General features: G+C 33.5%; 1 annotated feature.

The window, feature by feature from the left end:
- Positions 16,831-17,373: an enhancer, noted in NCBI's record as "NANOG hESC enhancer chr5:106090731-106091273 (GRCh37/hg19 assembly coordinates)". NCBI's record gives its function as "activates a minimal SCP1, AML or CMV promoter by ChIP-STARR-seq in primed H9 embryonic stem cells {active_cell/tissue: H9 hESC(primed)}" and the evidence as "EXISTENCE:reporter gene assay evidence [ECO:0000049][PMID:30033119]".

Here is a 19,493-nt window from a genome sequence, read left to right on the forward strand (position 1 = left end):
TATAGAATTATATTCCACAAGACTGAACAATGCAAAACTAGCTTGAATTTGTAAACTAAACAACTATCAAAACTCATACAGAGTAGAAAACATTTGAATTCAGAAAAGAAAGCATATAGGTATATTATTGAACCCTTAAGGCTTTAAGTAGAGATCCAGAAAAGAGATACACATATTTTAGTAGTGATAAACCATTACTTAAGTAAAGACTATTTTAGACCTCTTCTAACAATGCATACAGCAAGCTTTCAAAGGATCAAGCTAACCCACAAATAACTTCCTGACAGAAAAAATCTTAACATTTTTAGAGAAAAGCAATAAATTTCAGACATTCAAAACATAATATTTACAATGTCCAACACTTAGTAAAAAAATACTCATTAAATGAAGAAGAAAAATGTGATCTGAGAATAATCAGGAGAAATGAATCCATAAATCTATGTCTGGAATTGACAGATGAAAATTTTATAGCATATGTTATAAATTATAAATGTGTTTAATAATTTTAAGGAAGGCATAAAAATAAAAATAGATGCTATAAGGAGAAAAAAAGGAATTTTTAGTGGCAAATATACAATTCACTGAATAGAAATATCAGTAGATTACATATTGCAGAAAAAAAGACAAGTGAGCTTGAAGATAGGGCCTTCATAATAGATTACATGAATATTATAGATTTTTGCATGAAGAAATATCAATGCCAAGAATTTTTATTGCTTTTCTTTGTGCTCCAATTAATGGTTCTAAAAAAAACCCCCAAAATAATGATTTTGTAATTCACAAATCATGACAGCTGAGTTATGGTGTCCAATGTTAAACAATTCATATATACATATATGTCTAAATTAAACATGTGATCATAATTATTTACATGTTAAAAACTGTTAAGATTTCAATTTTAAGAGTAGTGATTTATGTGATTAAATTAGAATCTTTGTATTTTATGATGATAATACCTTACGTGTATCCCTAATACAAAGTTTGATCTCTAATCCAAAATTCGATTTTGTTTTTGAATTTAAGAATTGCTTTAAAAATTTTAATGCCAATTTCATTCCAACTTCCCCAGAAAAGTATTGTTTTCCAAATTAATATTGATAGAACATAATCTAAGAAATATGATGACTCAGTAAAAGGTATAACTTTTCAGTATTTTCAATAAAACATAAACTATGAGAAATGTTTGTTTACAATAACATTTTGTGGAAATTAAGACACAAATAATAATTTTATGAAATAAACATATATTTGTGAATCATGTATTTATTTTTTATTATCTGAAACCAGCAGGACTCTTGGGAGACATTTCTCCATAGGTATCTTGAATTTTTGCATATCTTGTAAGCATAGTTACTGACAGTCTTTTGTTCCAGACTATTTTTTATAGAATGTTTGTATAGCATACATACGTGGTAGATAGAGCTACTGTGTGCCTCCAGACACAAAGGCAGGATATTGTTATCCAGAATAATAAAGACAATGTCTACCTTGGAGATAAAGTTTAGATAGGTTTGCTTGCAACTCCTTTAAAAGATTGAGTTTTTTTTTTATGGTCCAGGTTCTACCACTTTACTGAAAGATACTATATGCACAGGCATTAATGTGTCTTTTGTCATGTCAGCCTGTGGGGACTGGGGTTCAATGAGCTTATATAAGTGATGATACTTTGGCTACTATATGCTCTAAGTAATAAAGTCCTTTGTCTCTCATCCAGGACTCTCATGTCACCTGCAACTCTTCATGAAAGTGTGGTGGACTAACTTGTTAGACAGCAAGTATAGTAAAATCTCCCACTTTTCACAGTTCTTAATAGAAGCTACTCAGAGAACCATCAGACATGAATATAAACATAAATTTCATCTCTTTTATTCATTACCAAATCTAGAGAAGCTGTCAACACGTATACACACTACATTCTAAAACACAACCCAATTTATTTAACTCATAGAACTTACCACAATCTGAAGTTATCTTTTCACTTTACTTGATTGTTTACAAATATTTTGCTTGTTTTCCTTTTTCACTACTAGAAAGCAAAATCAATGAAGAAGGGTTCTTATGAATTTATGTTTAAGCCTAAAAGATAAATTATGGCTAATAGAAACAAGACTTTTCCATTTCTTTTAGCCCAGAGTTAGATTATAATTCATGCTCATATTTATTTGATTTCTCTGACATTGCCAAAGTTTTGCTGATATTCTTCTGCTTATCCTGTGCTCATTATTTGTAAGTGACATCTGCAATGGAGCAAGTGGTTTTCATGTACTTACTTGCTTCTGATTATACATAATTTCATCATTTTCTTATCAACTGCATTTTTTTTTCTTAAAACACAGTCTTGGATACGGTTTCTAAGAAAGTTTATAATTTCTAGGTTTTCTTATTATCAGCTGGAGTTCTTAATTTTCCCAGATTTGCACATGGCTGGCCCTTTCATTTCTGTTTCCTGTGAAGGTGTTATGTCCTATGATGAGAAGAAAAGGTAGAGAAGAGTGCTTTAATCTTCATACGTAATTCTATAATTGAATTTGGGTGGAAAATAAATTTTTTCTGCAGGGACTGTGAAAAACCATTGAAACATCCCATTTGATTTCAGATGCAAAGAGATATTCATGTGTAATCCTTAGATATCCAAAACCTTTAGACTACTAGATATTAATCATGGAAATATACCCAAGCAAGCATTGGGTCACAGATAAAAGACAAGCCTCACACAACTTAAACAGATGTAAATAATATTCCCAGAGGAAATTGTTAGGCTTAAACTTAAGAGAAATATAATAAGCCGACAGTGTTGTGAGAAAACAAAAGCACAAAAATAAGATACAAATCAAGAAACTAGATTGATATAACTTGTATATAGATAATAAAATAACAGTATCATTAAAATTATATAGTTAATGTGATCCTTCATAAAACAGGTGTCTGAAGTTAAATATAGATTCTTAGAGAAGAAAATATTTATAAATTTTTATTAAAATAATATTAATCTTGTTAAGGGACAAAAATTGAATCTTCTACTCTCTGAATAAATTGTATATTGAATCCAGGAGAACTATGCTATTTTACTATGATAAAATCCATGATATAATAAAGACTTTTATTATTTTACAGTTTATTAATCTGTTAAGACTAATATTGACAATCTGGTAATTCAAAATTTCTCCCATAAGACATAATCTGTAAATATTTTTAAATATACAAAAATCAGCAATCTTATATCATAAAGCTAAAATAGAATTTATTATTTCATATATTGGTAAAATTGTTTAGTCAATAATTCTATTAACTGATTATGTTCTAGAGAAGTAATTATTTTCTTGTGAAAATTGAATTATGGCACCATATAGATTAGTATATTTTTTAAGGTAATCAAATGTATAAACAAGAGTTAAAACAATTGAGTTTTTTCTGTTGAGTAACTTATCTGTTGTTCGGTGGGTGGATTTGAGATTAACTTTGTAAGTAGTTATTTAATATTGAATCAACACAGTTGCATTCTTCCACAATCTATACACAGAGGATATAACAAAAAGAGCATCAATTCTTTGTGTTATTATTAGATTTACTTGTTTTAGTATTTTATGAATTTTCAAACAATAATTATAAAACAAAGAATCAAACCAAGCAAATCCCATATTGCCATTTAGCTATAATATACACTTAATTACAATCAGCATTCTATCAAAAAGCATATCTATGGGCTTGGATTATTTATGGCTGTCATAAAGCCACTTGTTAAGTATGAAAGGGAGGCGTATCAGTTTACTTTAATCTAATGAAGTGAACAGAGGAAAAAATAGCTAAAATTTTAATTTATAATGACTTTTGTCAATAAAATAATTTAGTTATTTTAGTTATGTATTTAGTTATTTGGATAGTGAATTTTGCTTTCACACATAAAACTACCAAATACACAAGAAACATTTAAGAAACATTTAAAGTATCATATTCTATCTTAAAATATGACATTATTTCAGAGAAATGTCACCTGAGCAAAATGTCATTGGTGAAAAATTGTTTTACAGAGTGTAAAAATATCTGGTCTGAATTTTATTTCTATATCATTTGCACTTTTTTTGCCTGTTGACTTAAATATGTAAATGTCTAAATTTAATAAAATATTCAAGTGTTAACAGTTTTTTTTTTAATTATATTTTAAGTCTAGGGTACATGTGCATAATGTGCAGGTAGGTTTATTTCATAGGCGTACATGTGCCATGTTGGTTTGCTGCACCCATCAGCTTGTCGTTTACATTAGGTATTTCTCCTAACACTATCCCTCCCCCAGACCCCCACCCCCCCACAGGCCCCGGTGTGTGATGTTCCCCTCCCTGTGTCCATGTGTTCTCATTTTTCAACTCCCACTTACAAGTGAGAACATGCGATGTTTGGTTTTGTGTCCTTGTGATATTTTGCTAAGAGTGATGGTTTCCAGCTTCATCCATCATGTCAAGAGACATGAACTCATCATTTCTTATGGCTGCATAGTATTCCATGGTGTGCCACATTTTCTTTATCCATTCTATTATTGTTGGATATTTGGGTTGGTTCCAAGTCTTTGCTATTGTGAATAGTGCCGCAATAAACATACGTGTGCATCCGTCTTTATAGTAGCATGATTTATAATCCTACGGGTGTATACCTAGTAATGGGATTGCTGGGTCAAACAGTATTTCTAGTTCTAGATCCTTGAGGAATCACCACACTGTCTTTCACAATGGTTCAACTAATTTACGCTCCCAACATCAGTGTAAAAGCATTCCTATTTCTCCACATCCTCTCCAGCATCTGCTGTTTCTTGATTTTTAATGATCGCCATTCTAACTGGCATGAGATGGTATTTCATTGTGGTTTTGATTTGCATTTCCATAATGACCAGTGATGATGAGCATTTTTTCATATGTCTGTTGGCTGCATAAATGTCTTATTTTGAGAAGTGTCTGTTCATATCCTTTGCCCAGTTTTTGATGGGGTTGTTTGTTTTTTTCTTGTAAATTTGTTTAAGTTCTTTGTAGATTCCAGATATTAGCCCTTTGTCAGGTGGATAGATAGCAAAAATTTTGTCCAATTCTGTAGGTTGCCTGTTCACTCTGGTGATAGTTTCTTTTGTTGTGCAGAAGCTCTTTAGTTTAATTAGAACCCATTTGTCAATTTTGGCTTTTGTTGCAATTGCTTTTGGTGTTTTAGTCATGAAGTCTCTGCCCATACATATGTCCTGAATGGTATTGCCTAGGTTTTCTTCTAGGGTTTTTATGGTTTTTATAGAATTAAAGAAACCCTTAAAGTGAATATATTTTTTAAAGCCCTAGTATGTATCATTTAGTAATATAATATGCCTTTTTTGTTAATAATATGAAGAAAATAAGAGAGTCAATTCAGATGGGAAATTGAGCTCCATATTGTTCTGTGCATTCTTGATAATATTTGACACCATATTTATCCCTTGAGGGTTGAGAAATAGACTTAATGATTAACCAAAATCTTAAGAGTACTGTAGAGTAATGTGTGGTTTTTGATTGTTCTAGCATTAGTAAAGAAACAATATTTGTACTGTATTAGCACTTGCTTAATAAAATTGCATACATATAGAAATTCAGACTGAATAGTCTCTTTATTGTGAAAGACTTAACAAAATTGATGTGTAAATTTGGCATAAATTCTAGTAACCATTGCTGAAAATCTGAAAATATTTTTATCCATATTCAATGTAGTAAATGGCAGTTTGATGCTTGTTAAAAATTTATTTACTCAACTAGATATTATGTGAAGTAAACATTTTCTCATCCTAAGCACTCTCAAAATAAGGAAGATGAAAAGCTACTTTTACTATGTGAAAGAAGGTTTATTTTTATTATCAATGAGTTATTACTGGGAAGATAAAAGAAAAAATGCTCAATATCACTGATTACTAGCAAAATGCAAATCAAAACCATAATGAGATACCGTCCCACACTGGTCAGAATGATTATTAAAAAGTCAAAAAATAATGGATTCTGGTGAGGTTGTGGAGAAAAGGGAACACTTATACATTGTTGGCAGGAGTGTAAATTAGTTCAACCATAGTGGAAAACAGTGTGACAATTCCTCAAAGAGCTAAAAACAGAAATACCATTCAACAGAGCAACCCATTAGTGGGTATAAACCTAAAGAAATATAAATCATTCTATCATAAAGACACATACATGTGTATATTCACTGCATCACTATTCATAATAACAAAGACATGGAATCAACCTAATGCCCATCAGTGGTAGGCTGGATAAAGAAAATGTGACACATATACATCATGGAATATTATGTAGCCATAAAAAGGAATGAGTTCATGTCTTCTATAGGACATGGATGGAGCTGGAGGCCATCATCCTTAGCAAACTCATGCAGGCACAGAAAACCAAATACCACGTTTTCACTTATAAGTGGGAGATAAATGATGAAAACACATGCACACAAAGAGGGCAACCACAGACACTGGGGCCTACTTCAGAGTGAGGGGTGGGAAAAAGAGGAGCAGAAAAAATGACTATTGGTTCCAGGATTAATACCTAGGTAGCGAAATAATCTGCACAACACACCCCAATGACATGAGTTTACCTACGTAACAAACCTGCCAATGTACCACGAACCTAAGATAAAGGTAAAATATTGTCTTTATTTGATGTGTTGTATCGTTAAACGCATTTTTAAAATGTATTTTATTTAAGTTAATAGAGTTTAAAGTAGGAATATTTATTGATTTAATTAGGAATAACATGCTGTGGGTTAAATTTTAGTTACATTCACTAAACTATGTTCATGGGCTTTAGATTCCCAATTGCAGTACTGGCACTGTGAAATTGGTATGTATGTTTATCCTTTTAGGCAGTAAACTTTTTAATGTAATGTTGTGAGATAGTTTTCATGGTGTTTCTACATGTCTTGTGACCATTTCTGTCCTGACTACCTTTGCTATACAAACATCCTTGGAAGATAGAGCTAGTGTCTTCCTCTTGAGCAAAGGAAAATTTGTTTCCATACCAGAACTATAAAGATAATGTTTTCCTCTGGTGCAAATTTGGGCAGGTTTGCTAGTAGATCCCTTATAAGATTTGGAGTTTCCTAAACTTGGTACTCCTCAGCTGTGACATGAAATCACTGGGTACACAGCATTTATCTGGGCCAACTGCGGCATCATCCCCACGGGACTTTGGGAGCAACGAGGGACAATGCAAGCATAAAGCTTGTGTGATTCTTTCTATGCCATAAGTGATAAAGTATCTTATGTCTGACCCAGGAGACTTATGTCTTCTACCATCATCAAAGAAACTGTGGCAGACTAACTCATTAGCTTGCAGGCGGGATAAAAATCTTACACTGTGGGCAGTTCTTGACAGAAGTGTATTAGTTATCTATTCGTACGAATTGTTTCTGAAACCTAATTCTTTTTTTCTTTTTTTTCTTTTGAGACGGAGTCTTGCTCTGTCGCCCAGGCTGGAGTGCAGTGGTGCGATCTCGGCTCACTGCGAGCTCCGCCTCTGGGGTTCACGCCATTCTCCTGCCTCAGCCTCCCAAGTAGCTGGGACCACAGGCGCCCGCCACCACGCCTGGCTAATTTTTTGTATTTTTAGTAGAGACGGGGTTTCACCGTGTTAGCCAGAATGGTCTCGATTTCCTGACCTCGTGATCCGCCCTCCTCAGTCTCCCAAAGTGCTGGGATTACAGGCGTGAGCCACCGTACCCCACCCTCTAAAACCTAATGATTTAAAATTATATTAGGTATCTATTATCTCTTATAATTTCTATGATTCAGGAATTCAGGTGCAGAATAGCTGGGCAGTTCTGGCCCAGGACTTTTAAATAAGTTGCAATCAAGCTGTAAAATCGGGTGGCATCACCTGAAGGTTCCATGGTTGATACAGAAATTGCTTTCATGTTGGCTCAATCATAGGGCTGGCAAGTTGGTTTAATCATGGGACTTTAGTGAATCCCCACGTGTGCATCTCTGCAGGGTGCCAAAGGGGCCTCAAGATATAGTCACTGGCTATTCCCAAGAGAAAAGTCTAAGAAATAGGGCAGCCACATTGGTACAATTTTGTACAGGATTCAGCCTGACACAGTTTGGAGGAAATTACATGAGTGTGAATATGAAAAAGTAAGGATTGGGAGAAGGGAGCATTTTGGAGGCTTGCTACCAGGGGCGATATCACTCAGATTATATGTTGACCTTCCAGTATGCCAATTTATTTTTCTTAATAGTGTTTTTAGTATTTATTGGATACCGCAGGATAATGGAGATTTTTAACATTTGTCCAGATAGTTTGTAATGAAAAGCAAGCAGAGCTATAAATGTATCTTTATCTTTTTCTTTGCTGCTAGAATATCCTGGAAGTCAATCTCAGGACTATTTTCAAATAAAAATTTAAAAGGAAGATGTCAGAACTGAAAGTAGTACAGAGAATTAGGTGAACATAGCAGCTAAACTTAGCAAGGTAAAATGTCATACTCCCAGAATAAACTGATAAGTCAATCATACAAATGCAACCAAATTATTGGAAAAAATCAATATAAGAAGAATAGCATCAGATTTCTCAGCTGTAACCAAAAATTATGAGAAATATTATTGAAATATTTGCAAAGTTAAAAGATAAAGGAATGTATACACTGTCAAACAAATAAATACAAGTGAAGGCAAAATTAAAGGCATTTTTAAACATTCACATTAAAAAATTATTTCATACTTCTTTAAAAGCTTCTCTATTTAGTAATCTTCCAGATGAAAAATAAATAAATTAGAATTGAAAGCTTAAGTTTGGATACCACTTTTGTTCACTTTAAGAACGGTTAAAAAAGACAATTCAGGTAAAAGTTTAGAGGATATGATAAAGTATAAAGAATAACAACAAAATTAAGATGGCAAGAAAGATACCAGCCATATAAATAACCAGAAAAAAGGCTAAGTGGAATTATATTATTAAAGGTTAATTACAGTACTGAAAAGAAAAAGAAAAGATTTTAATAGGGTATTTAAAAAATTCTACTGCAATGCAAGTCTAATAATGCAGTGTGTCATAGACTAGTAATTCTAAAGTTTCAACATTTATTAAATTAAGGTTAATCTGGAAAAGAACTCTGCGGTACAGTATTATCTGTTGTTACTTACAAAATATCATAAGCAAAAAGATTATCATATATTTTATAAGGCAATTGTTAGCCTGAGTATATCATTTTCACAGAAATACCACATAAAACCTAAGAAGCATGTGGCTAACATTTTCAGTTATTGACCACGAGGTATTTATAGATTCAGCTAACATTTGGGAATCCACCCTTTCCTCGTTCTCAGTTGATGTTTATCTGGAAAACTGTGTGATATGTGCATCAATTCTCAGGAGCATTCTGTTCCGTGGCCACCCTAAGTGTACTGGAAGTTGGCATATGATCCAATAACTATGAGGCCCAGAATCCAATGACTATGAGGCCCAGGAAGTTTACTGAAATAATTATAAAAAGCTGCACCATCTTAGCTGCTGAACATAAATTTATGTGGAATTTAGCCTTTTTAGTTGAAAGTCTTTATGCTAGTACAAGGTAACCATCTCTTTGGAAATGCAACCAACACAGAAAACGTGGAGCATAAAGTAGAGACTTAATGTCATATCTTTACCATATGAATGGCTAAATCTAGTGCCTGAGTGGAATATATATGTAACTTTTTATTTTATTTGTTTCACATAGGGTCTCACTCTGTCACCCAGGCTGGAATGCTTTGGTGCTATCTCAGCTCACTACAGGCTCAAGCTCCCAGCTCAAGCAATCCTTGCCCCTCAGCCTCCTGAGTAGCTGGGACTATAGTATTTGCCTTCATGCCTGGCTAATTTTTTTTTAATTTTTTTGTAGAGACGAAGTCTCACTATGTGGTCCAGGCTAGTCTTGAACTCCTGGGATCAAGTGATCCTCCTGCCTCAGCCTCCTAAATTGCTGGGATAACAGGCATGAGCCACTGTACTTGGCCATTTCACTTTTTAGATATATAATTTAATAAATTTCATCTTTTTCTTTTTTAAAGTCTTAGAATTGAGTGTTTTTATATAAATCATAATCAAATGAAACAATTATTATAATGAATAGTAAGAACTGAAAGTAAATTATCCTGGCATCAATTTACAGATTATATAATAATACTCATCAAATTTACTACTTCAAACAGTCATTACGGAATTTCCAGCTTCCATTAGGGGGTGGAAAGAACCTCAGATAATCCACAAAAGTCATACTTTCTTAACCCATTACAGAATTAAGGTCATAGGACAACCAATCATCCTGAGATCTAAGAAAAGTTGGACTTCTCTAAGGAGAAACTGGAAATGAGCACAAGCTTCCAAGGTGAGAAATAAGCCAGGAAGAATTCAGCTAAAATGCTTAACAACTCGCTAAAGGATAGTATGACAGCATAAAGCCGCTGATAATGCAGATGCAAAAAAAACTGCACTCACCTATGGCTCTTTTCCTTAAACCCAGGAGAAAGCTGGAGGGCTAGAAAGGGAGCCAGAGAATGCATCCATCATGGTCAAGGCCTGAGGGAGAAAGCATATGGCAGATACTGTGGGAAAGACACGAGGAAACACTAGAATCTTTCTCCCCTATAGAAAACTGTTCTTAAGCTACTGGGCAAAGAGATTGCCCTGCTATCCTCAGATAATGGGGCAGAAACACTGTGGTTATAGGTGGGAGGAAAAAAAAACAAAAACAACAAACAAAACAAAACCCTTTATCTTTGCATCAGGTAGAAAAATGATTCTAGGCCCAGAGAAAGTCTCCTGCTGCTGGTGGAGGAGCAGAAGCTTTGAGAAAGGCCCACCTAGGAGAGGCAGAACTTTAAGGCTGGCCTAAGACTGTGGTGGAAACTGGGCAAAAGAAAATGCCCACATGTGTCCAGGACCACTAAAAAGGCATTGAATAACAAGTAACAGCAGTCTAAATCTGGGAAGAAGGCAAAATCATAGAGAGAAAGCACATCTGAAATGCAGCCTCCCTCGCAGGGACAGCAGAAGCTGAAGGTGGGATAAGAATAGTGAGTGTAAAGAACCTTCCTGCAGTCCACATACCCCACCTTAAGCTAAAAGGTTGAGGATTTGAAGCCAGGAAACCAAACCAATTTTATCTCAATCCTCATCTAGTTTGACTTGATACCCTACAATCAGTGGCCTAGCTAACAAGAGTTATGCCTATTTTAAGCTATAAATACTATTTCATCAGTCTCTACTGTTCTATACTCTATATAGAGCTTTAACCAAAAATCATCAGAAACACCCAGAAAACAACAACAATAAGCAGAAGAAATAACAACACTTTTATTAGAGTAAGCCAAAGCAACAAAAAGAAGATGTAACATTCCCCACATGTTGAAACCACAAGGCAGGAAATTTTAAATAATAATAATTAATATATTAAAGACTTAAATGAGTAAGATGGGAAATATGTATGAATAAATGAGGGATGGTATCAAGGAAATAAAAATATAAAGACAATCAATAGAGATACTAAAATATTTGTGATGAAATTATCACAATCTCAACATATCCAAGCAAAGAATCAGTGAACTTAACTATGTCATTAGAAATTATGCAAACTCCTACACAAAGAGACAAACTAGTAAAAGAAAAAAGGGAAAGAATCAGAGCATCAATGAGACACAATATAATATAAATGCTCCAAAATACATGTTATTAGAATTCCAGAAGGAGAAATGAGAATGGGGCAGATGAAATATTTGGGAAAAAAATGGCTGTAAATTTTCCAAGAAGAGCAATAGATACCAAAATACAGATCCAAGAAGCTCAGAAAACCATGATTAATCAATGCAGAAAGAAAGATAAAAAGACAGAAGGAAGGAAGGAAGGAAGGAAGGAAGGAAGGAAGGAAGGAAGGAAACACCATAGACATATCATATTCAAACTAGTAAAAATCATGAATGAAGACACCATCCTGAAGGCAGCCAGAGAGAAAGGATGCATTGCTTACAGGGGAGCAAAGAATGAAAGAATTTTCAAAAAGTATATAACTTAAAAGATGATAGTGTGACAGATTTAGAGTGTTAGAAGGGAAAAAACTGTCCACTAAAACTTCTACAACCTGTGAAAATCTTTCAAAACTAAAAAAATATAAAGACCTTTTAATCCCAATAAAATCTCAGCAAATTCATTACCAGCAGACTCACGTTTACAAGAAACGTTTTAAGCAGAAGGAATATGATGCTAAACAGAAAGTTTAATCTGTACAAAGAAACAGAGTGCTGAAGGTGGGATAAATAAAGACACATTAAACCAAATTAGACAAAATAATTAAACATTTCAACACAACAGAAAGAACAACACTAAAATTTGTATATCATAAAAAAAGGTAAGCAATATAACATGAGCCATATCTAATAGGACTTCAGAAATTATCTATCCTATAGTTCCAGGATGACGATGATGATGGTTGTGATAATGATGAAGATTGTGATGATAGTTATATGGGAGATAAAACTTTAAGCACTTTACATATTAAATTCTATAATATTCACCACATCTATTAAAATATGTTACATTATTGTCCCTATTTTACCAACAAGAAAACTGACCAACAAGATTAAACAACGTGACTAAGTTCACACAACCTATAACAGCAGAATCTATATCAATCACAACACAATTAGCAGCTATTTCTGTGGCAATTTTCAATAAAGATGTGTCTGAAGAAAATCTCCATGATATTTCTGGGCTTTTGACTGCTAATGTGGCAAAGAAATAGGAGCAGAACTGGGAATATTTCTAAGTCATGAAAAAGTGAATTTTCTCTTACATTAATGAGTAAACAGTTATTTTCTAACTCTTTAAATAATTTCAAAACAGTTTTAGAAGTAAAAAAAGGAATTGTAGTCTGTTCCAAAGGAAACGTTTGTAATACAATTTCTATAAACAGAGTGATATATAAGCTGTTCTTTTTACATTACTATACTGCATTGTATAGTATACTGCATTGATCACCTTACAAATAGTCTCTATAATATTGTTTAATAAAATATGTTAGAAGAAAACATGTATTTACAAGCATCCATTATTGTATTGTTACTATTGGTTCTCATATTTATAATACAGTAGTGTTTAATTATGCTGTAAATTAGTGAACATTTACAGAAAAATATGTTGAAATGGTACATCATACAATGTAAATTTAGTTACCTTAAAGTATCAATAGCACCACCTTGGGGTGTTCGCTATTTCAGAAATGCTATAATATGTTTCAATATAAATTCTTTTCTGCAGACACAATGTGTCAGAAACATAATTAAATCTAAATATCATGGAGATGGGTGACAAGTACTTAAATTTGTAACATTTGTACAGAAGCATACTTTATGGCAGAAAAAAAGATGAAAGAAAGGAAAGAGGACAATAAAGACAAACAAAAGAAAGAGAAATAAATATTAGTATGACATTTACAAAATAAATTACGGTATTAGCACAGTTTGTCTATTTCTGGGTCTTCTCTGTCTAGGCGCACATTGGTAGGACTGAACTTCCCAGGACCCATGATGTTTAGCAAAACCATAAATGTGAGTGTAAGTTACCTGGGTCACTTCCAGACTGAGATCTTAAGCACCAAAAGATGTTTTACCATACCATCTCTCACAGTCAGCAAGGCTATCGATGGTTGCTGCTTGGTCAGTCTGGATCCAATAGACAGGAAGACAGATAGCAAAGCCCAAAAGAAACCTTCAATGAACATGTATCACAAGACATTTTTAAAAAGCTTTTTTTGTGTTTTTATGCCAAAGATATTCTTTATTACCGAATGATTACTTTATCTTTACATAAATATTGTGATTATAAACTGAAATATAGTATTTCTATGTAAAACTATAGAATTTGTCTATATAATGACATAGAAAAATCTAGACTACATTTAGGAGTGAAGAAGCTGGGTAGACGATAGTATTACAGATTAGTGTATATAATTGAGACAGTAATGGAGAGCATTGTTGTTATTTGGTATGGGGGAGAAATGTTTTCTGAAAAGCAACGTGGTAAATCCATAAATCATTTGCCTTGTAGTAACACAGCTTGAATTAGAGCAGGTATTTAGCAATATTATTTACCCTGTTAAATGTAATTTCAAAATTTCTCATAGACTATCCTGGGAGATTGAATAAATGCTCAACAATATTGCCCCATAAAACACAGAATGTCATCAAATATACACAATTATGAAAATGTAGCAAAGTATACAGTGAGTATTCAGTATTTTTGAGCCTAAATAAGAAAGGATATAAATTATTAATAATGAGCAGTATTTCCTTTTTACATGATGTCTAAACCTTTACATGATGTCTAACATTATAGGTTCAGGCTTTGTTTTGGTATTTTTCTAAATAACAATTTCTAAAGTTTCTATTTTTAAAAATAAGTTATTGATATCTCCACTGATAGTCTGTAGAGAAAAACTATTAGGTTGAAATAATTGCTATATACTTTAAATGTCTTTGAAATTTTAGAAAAAAATCAATTACCAATCTTCAAGTTGGATTACTCATTAAATATAAATTTCTAAGTATTTCTTTTAGAGACAAAGAATATAAAACAATATTTGATGTTTTAACTAGGAAAAAAACCTGCTATTTTAATCTTACACAAATGTGCATAAGACAACTCCACAATAAAAGGAGAACCGAAAGAATGCCTTCAGCTTTGATTATTTTATACAAAACAAATTCATATTAAAAACATTGATGGTTCAACTGATGTGTGTTCAAATATTTAATATCTATATATAAAAATATTTCATGAATTCTATAAAAATAAAACTTGCTGCAATATTATGCTACTGAGATTCAATTAAATATTACTACAATACAAAGCTCATTTGAAAATATTCACATTTGTTTTGTATTATCTTAAGCAACTTCCTATAATAGTTTGGTTTACTTTTTTTTCCCAGTGATCAATATAATTAATTTACTTATTTGAATATTTACCTCAAAGGAGGTGTTTGTACACCTAAAAATGGGTAGGCAAAAGAATCATACCTTGTCAAGTATAAAGCTTCCTAGGCAAGTAGACCTAATGGGAAAACATTCTCTAATAGAAAGCTGACCGAGATCATATTTCTCTATTTAATGTACAAAGCCAAATTGAAAGACTGGCTTGTCAGCAAATGTTTAACTACAGTGAAATTCATGCCTACCTCTAGTACTCTAATTAGAAATTCCAACATAATTGAACTAGAAGACATTCTACACTTTAATACTGTAGCACCCTTTCATTAAAATTCAATACTCCATATTTTCATTACATGTTCATCATTCTGAGTATAAATTTCTTCAGAATATTCTCTCCTTAAAGGAAAATAGAAAGGAACTTTACTTCAGAGCAGAAATCTTAGATTAATAGGATAAATTGTGTATTAGATATAGAAAGAAAAAATAGTCATTTTGCAACCAAATAATAAAGTGCCACCATAAAAACCTACAACACATAATAAGAATAATAAAAAGAACGAGTTATAAAGAGAATCTTCATCAACATTAGAGTAAATGGCATCTAAGCAAATCTGAGTTTAGTATCATAGTGTTGGAAAGAAAGAACAAAACAATTACAAACATAACAGTATGGATTGTTGTTGTATTTAAAGAAGCGGCCCCTGCTAGTACTTCTAGAATGTAGAAAGATGAAGATTCAGGCATTACCTGCTTCCCAGCTGGTTGGATGATTATCCAGCTTAGCATCAGGTAGTTAAGTTGTACTGAGGCAAAATGAAAACATGAGAGGATAATGCTAGAGGATCCAGCTGGGCCACAGACAAAGTTTTCATTCCTCTATTCACTCATGCATTCATTCAGCACAAATTTATCATGTATCCAGTATAAGCTAAACATTATCCCAGATACAAAGATGAATAAAACAATGCTTCTCACCCTCAAAGGATTAAATCTAGTAAGTGTAGACAAACAAATGAACAAAGTTAATGCAAAAGAATATCGAGGGTACTCTGATAGAAGTGGGGGGTCAGTGCTACTTTGAACTTGAATGACTTTTTGAAAAATTCCCTTCCAATTAAGCAAGGCAGTCTTTTCTATATTCCTAGGATCCTTGCTACATATCTAGACAGAATCTGGGGGATGAATACTAATATTTAAATTACCAGAATATACATAATTAAATGACAAATTGTGTGGCACATACAAAATTTCTCAAGGACATATATAAGAGGAGAGGAATAATGAGGACCAGAGTACTAAGATATATTATCAAATCAGAGGCAGAACAAAATTTAAAGAGAGGAAAATAATCTCTACATAAAGAAATACATATATCAGATTTATACTGACATCTGTATACAGAGATATGTATACACACGACAAGCTTAATAGGAAACAACATTTCATAACATATCTGCATACACACAAAAACTTTCTAATAATGTTTTGCCATATCCTGTTTTAAAAGGGTTTTTCTTTAAATGGCTTTTTAAATCAACACTTGAGGTATTCATTTTTTATTCATAGTTTTTGTTTGTTTGCTTGCTTTTGACTCAGTCCCTTCATATTGACCACCTTTTCCTTGAATCCTTTTACACATTTATCTTCGTTAAAGTCTCTACCTGATGGTTTTAATATTTGGGTCTTGGGTTTCTCTAAATCTGATTGTTTTGAATGCTCTGTTTCTTCATATTGGTGTGTGTGTGTGTCTCATAATTTTTGATTGGACAGTGGCATTGTATACAGAAGAACAGAGAAGACCAAGGTCAGTATTATCTATCCCTGGAATTAAGCAGCTTCATCTCCTGTCAGGCCATTCTTGCAGTGGGTAGAGTTAAAATAGTGGTTAGAAGTTGAGCTGGATTTCCATTTTGTCATTGCTACCCTTTCCATTAGTGCACTAAAAGCTTCAGTTTCTTCAGGGGAGACCTGCTGTTACCTTGTGCTCACAAGGTTGCTTGGGCTTCTGAGTGAATTTTCTCAGTGTTCCTGCTCCACCTTCAGCTTTTAGCAGTCTCTGCACAGCTCTCTCCCCACCGTTGGAACTCTCTCCCAATGGGAGACTGCTTTTCTTGTTGGGGGTGGGGGAGAGGGAACGGTAGGGCTTTTGTTCTCCTGGCACAGCTTCAGTCTTCTTAAAAGACCTGTTCATCTGAGCCTCAGGGGTGGTGCTTTCTCACTCTTGCTCTTCTCCTAATGGCCAGCAATTTCTATCTTGTGTCTGTGGTGTTTTGGGTAGAAGTTTCCTGACCTTCTCCCAGAAGGAACAGGCCTCTGCTTCTCATCCATAAAAGAAGGGTTTATCGATACTTTTCAGATGTAGAGGGTTTTTGCTTTTCCCCCTGCCCCAAAAGCAATGAATTTTAACCTTAATCCTGGAGGTGAGTATTGGCCGCCCCTCCCCCAATTACCTTAAACTTTTGCTTCATATCAGAGCAGGTAGAGAAACAGATGGTGACCATGGCATGGTGGCTCATGCTTGTAATTCCACCACTTGGGGAGGCAGAGGGGAGAGGATCACTTGAGCTCAGGAGTTCAAGACCAGCCTGGCCAACCCCGTGTCTACTAAAAATACAAAACTTAGCCGGGCATGGTGGCAGGTGCCTGTAGTTCCAGCTACTTAGGAGACTAAGGCACGAGAACCCGGGAGGCAGAGGTTGCAGTGAGCAGAAATCACGCCATGGCACTCCAGCCTGGGTGACAGAGTGACTCAGTCTCAAAAAAAAAAAAAAAAAGAGAAACAGGTGGTGATCAGTTACTGCACCCACTCTCGTGCCAGCTGATCAACCCCTGCCTACCAGCTCCCTAGGGGGACCCTCAGCAGCTTCCTGCCTTGCCACAAATCTTTATTAGTACCTGGTAAAGGGCTGGGAATTAGAGTTTGTAAGAAACTCAGACTCTCCTGCATCTTGTGTTCTCAATTTTAACAGCTTCATGTTAGCCTATACCAGGGCTTTAAGAATTTATGAACATTTTAGCTGATTTCTTCTTACCCGATTATATGATGACCACCACTTCCTCCAGTGACCAGAGTAAAACAAATGCTATGTCTCATTGTTCCTTAGACGTGCTGTCCCTCTTTCTGACTCAGTTTGCTTAGTTACCTTACAACTGTAGCTCTCTAACGGTTTCAGAAGAAATAATGATTTTTGCTAATTATCTATATTTCTTTTCTTGCTGTTAGGAGGTGAGTGACATTTTCTTGCTGCTTTCTACATACTAATCAGAAAAAGAATTCTAAATTTTTTAAATTAACAATTTAAATTTTCTTGGTGCTTTCCTAATAAGAAAGGAGACCAAAAACGATTTGCCTATTATTTAGTACTTTATGCTTCCTCAAGTCTTGGTCAAAATTTTTGTTCACAATACTACTGGTGTTCTAGAAATGCATATAATAAACTATGCACTTATCTATCATTTAGCTGCAGCCTTCATTTTTGAGCAAGTATGATCATATTTCAGGCTTCTCTATAGAAATAATCTTATTTTTCTCTTTCTATGATGAAATAATGTAGTAAAATTCAAACATTTTTTACTCACGCATCTCTTTCATCAGATGAAACTTTATGTGTATTCCTAATACACAAATGATATGAAAGCAAGGATGTTCTGTTTCAAGTGCAGGAGGGGAAAGATGAAAGAATGCCCTTCTGTTGTCTGCTCTGCATCTGTCCCTCAAACTCCAAACTGGCCCTCGAGCAGCCTCGGAGGATTTTTTGGTAACTTTTAAAAAACCCAAACCTTACCCCAGACCTATGTAATCTAAATTTCTAGAAATGAAGTCCACGAATGAATATATTAACTTACTATTTAGGTAACTCTGATGTTTGGGCATCTTTAGCACAGCATGAAGAATTTTAATTTGTCTCAATGTAATTTATTAAATTGAAAGTATTACATGTGTGATAATATAGACAATCACATTCTGAAGCAAAAATGTTATTACACTTTCATAAAATCTTACAGCAAAGATATTCTCTGCATTTCCCCTAAGTACTATGTTTATTTCAGATATCATTTTCTAAGAGAAATCTAAAACATAAAAATTACTAAATGGAATGGCATGCAAAACTTAGGGAAGAAAGAGTTGGTATTTTGCAATTTTTTTTCATTTACAACACACCAACTCTTTTTCTATACTAGAAATGAAAGATAAATAGTTGCTTTAAAATAAGCTAAGCAAATTCATATCTTAATAATTATAAATTTATAAAAGATACATGAAAATAATAACCTTTTATAACACATAAATTGGAACTATAGAAAATTTTACCTGAAAAACTTAAAAACATACTTAAAGGAAAGTTAAGCACAATTTAACATATTACAATCATAGGTTCTGTCAAGTTATTATTCCTTCACATGTATAATTCATTGTGCATATATATGATGATTCATAGGAGGTCTAGACACTTCAAGCTGATAAATCTCATATATTTAAGCTTTTTTAACTGATTATTTGCAGTATATTTTATAGCAAAGAAACAATATTTTT

Source organism: Homo sapiens, chromosome 5 (genome assembly GCF_000001405.40).
Source record: "Homo sapiens chromosome 5, GRCh38.p14 Primary Assembly".
In the NCBI taxonomy this organism is placed as follows: Eukaryota; Metazoa; Chordata; class Mammalia; order Primates; family Hominidae; genus Homo; species Homo sapiens.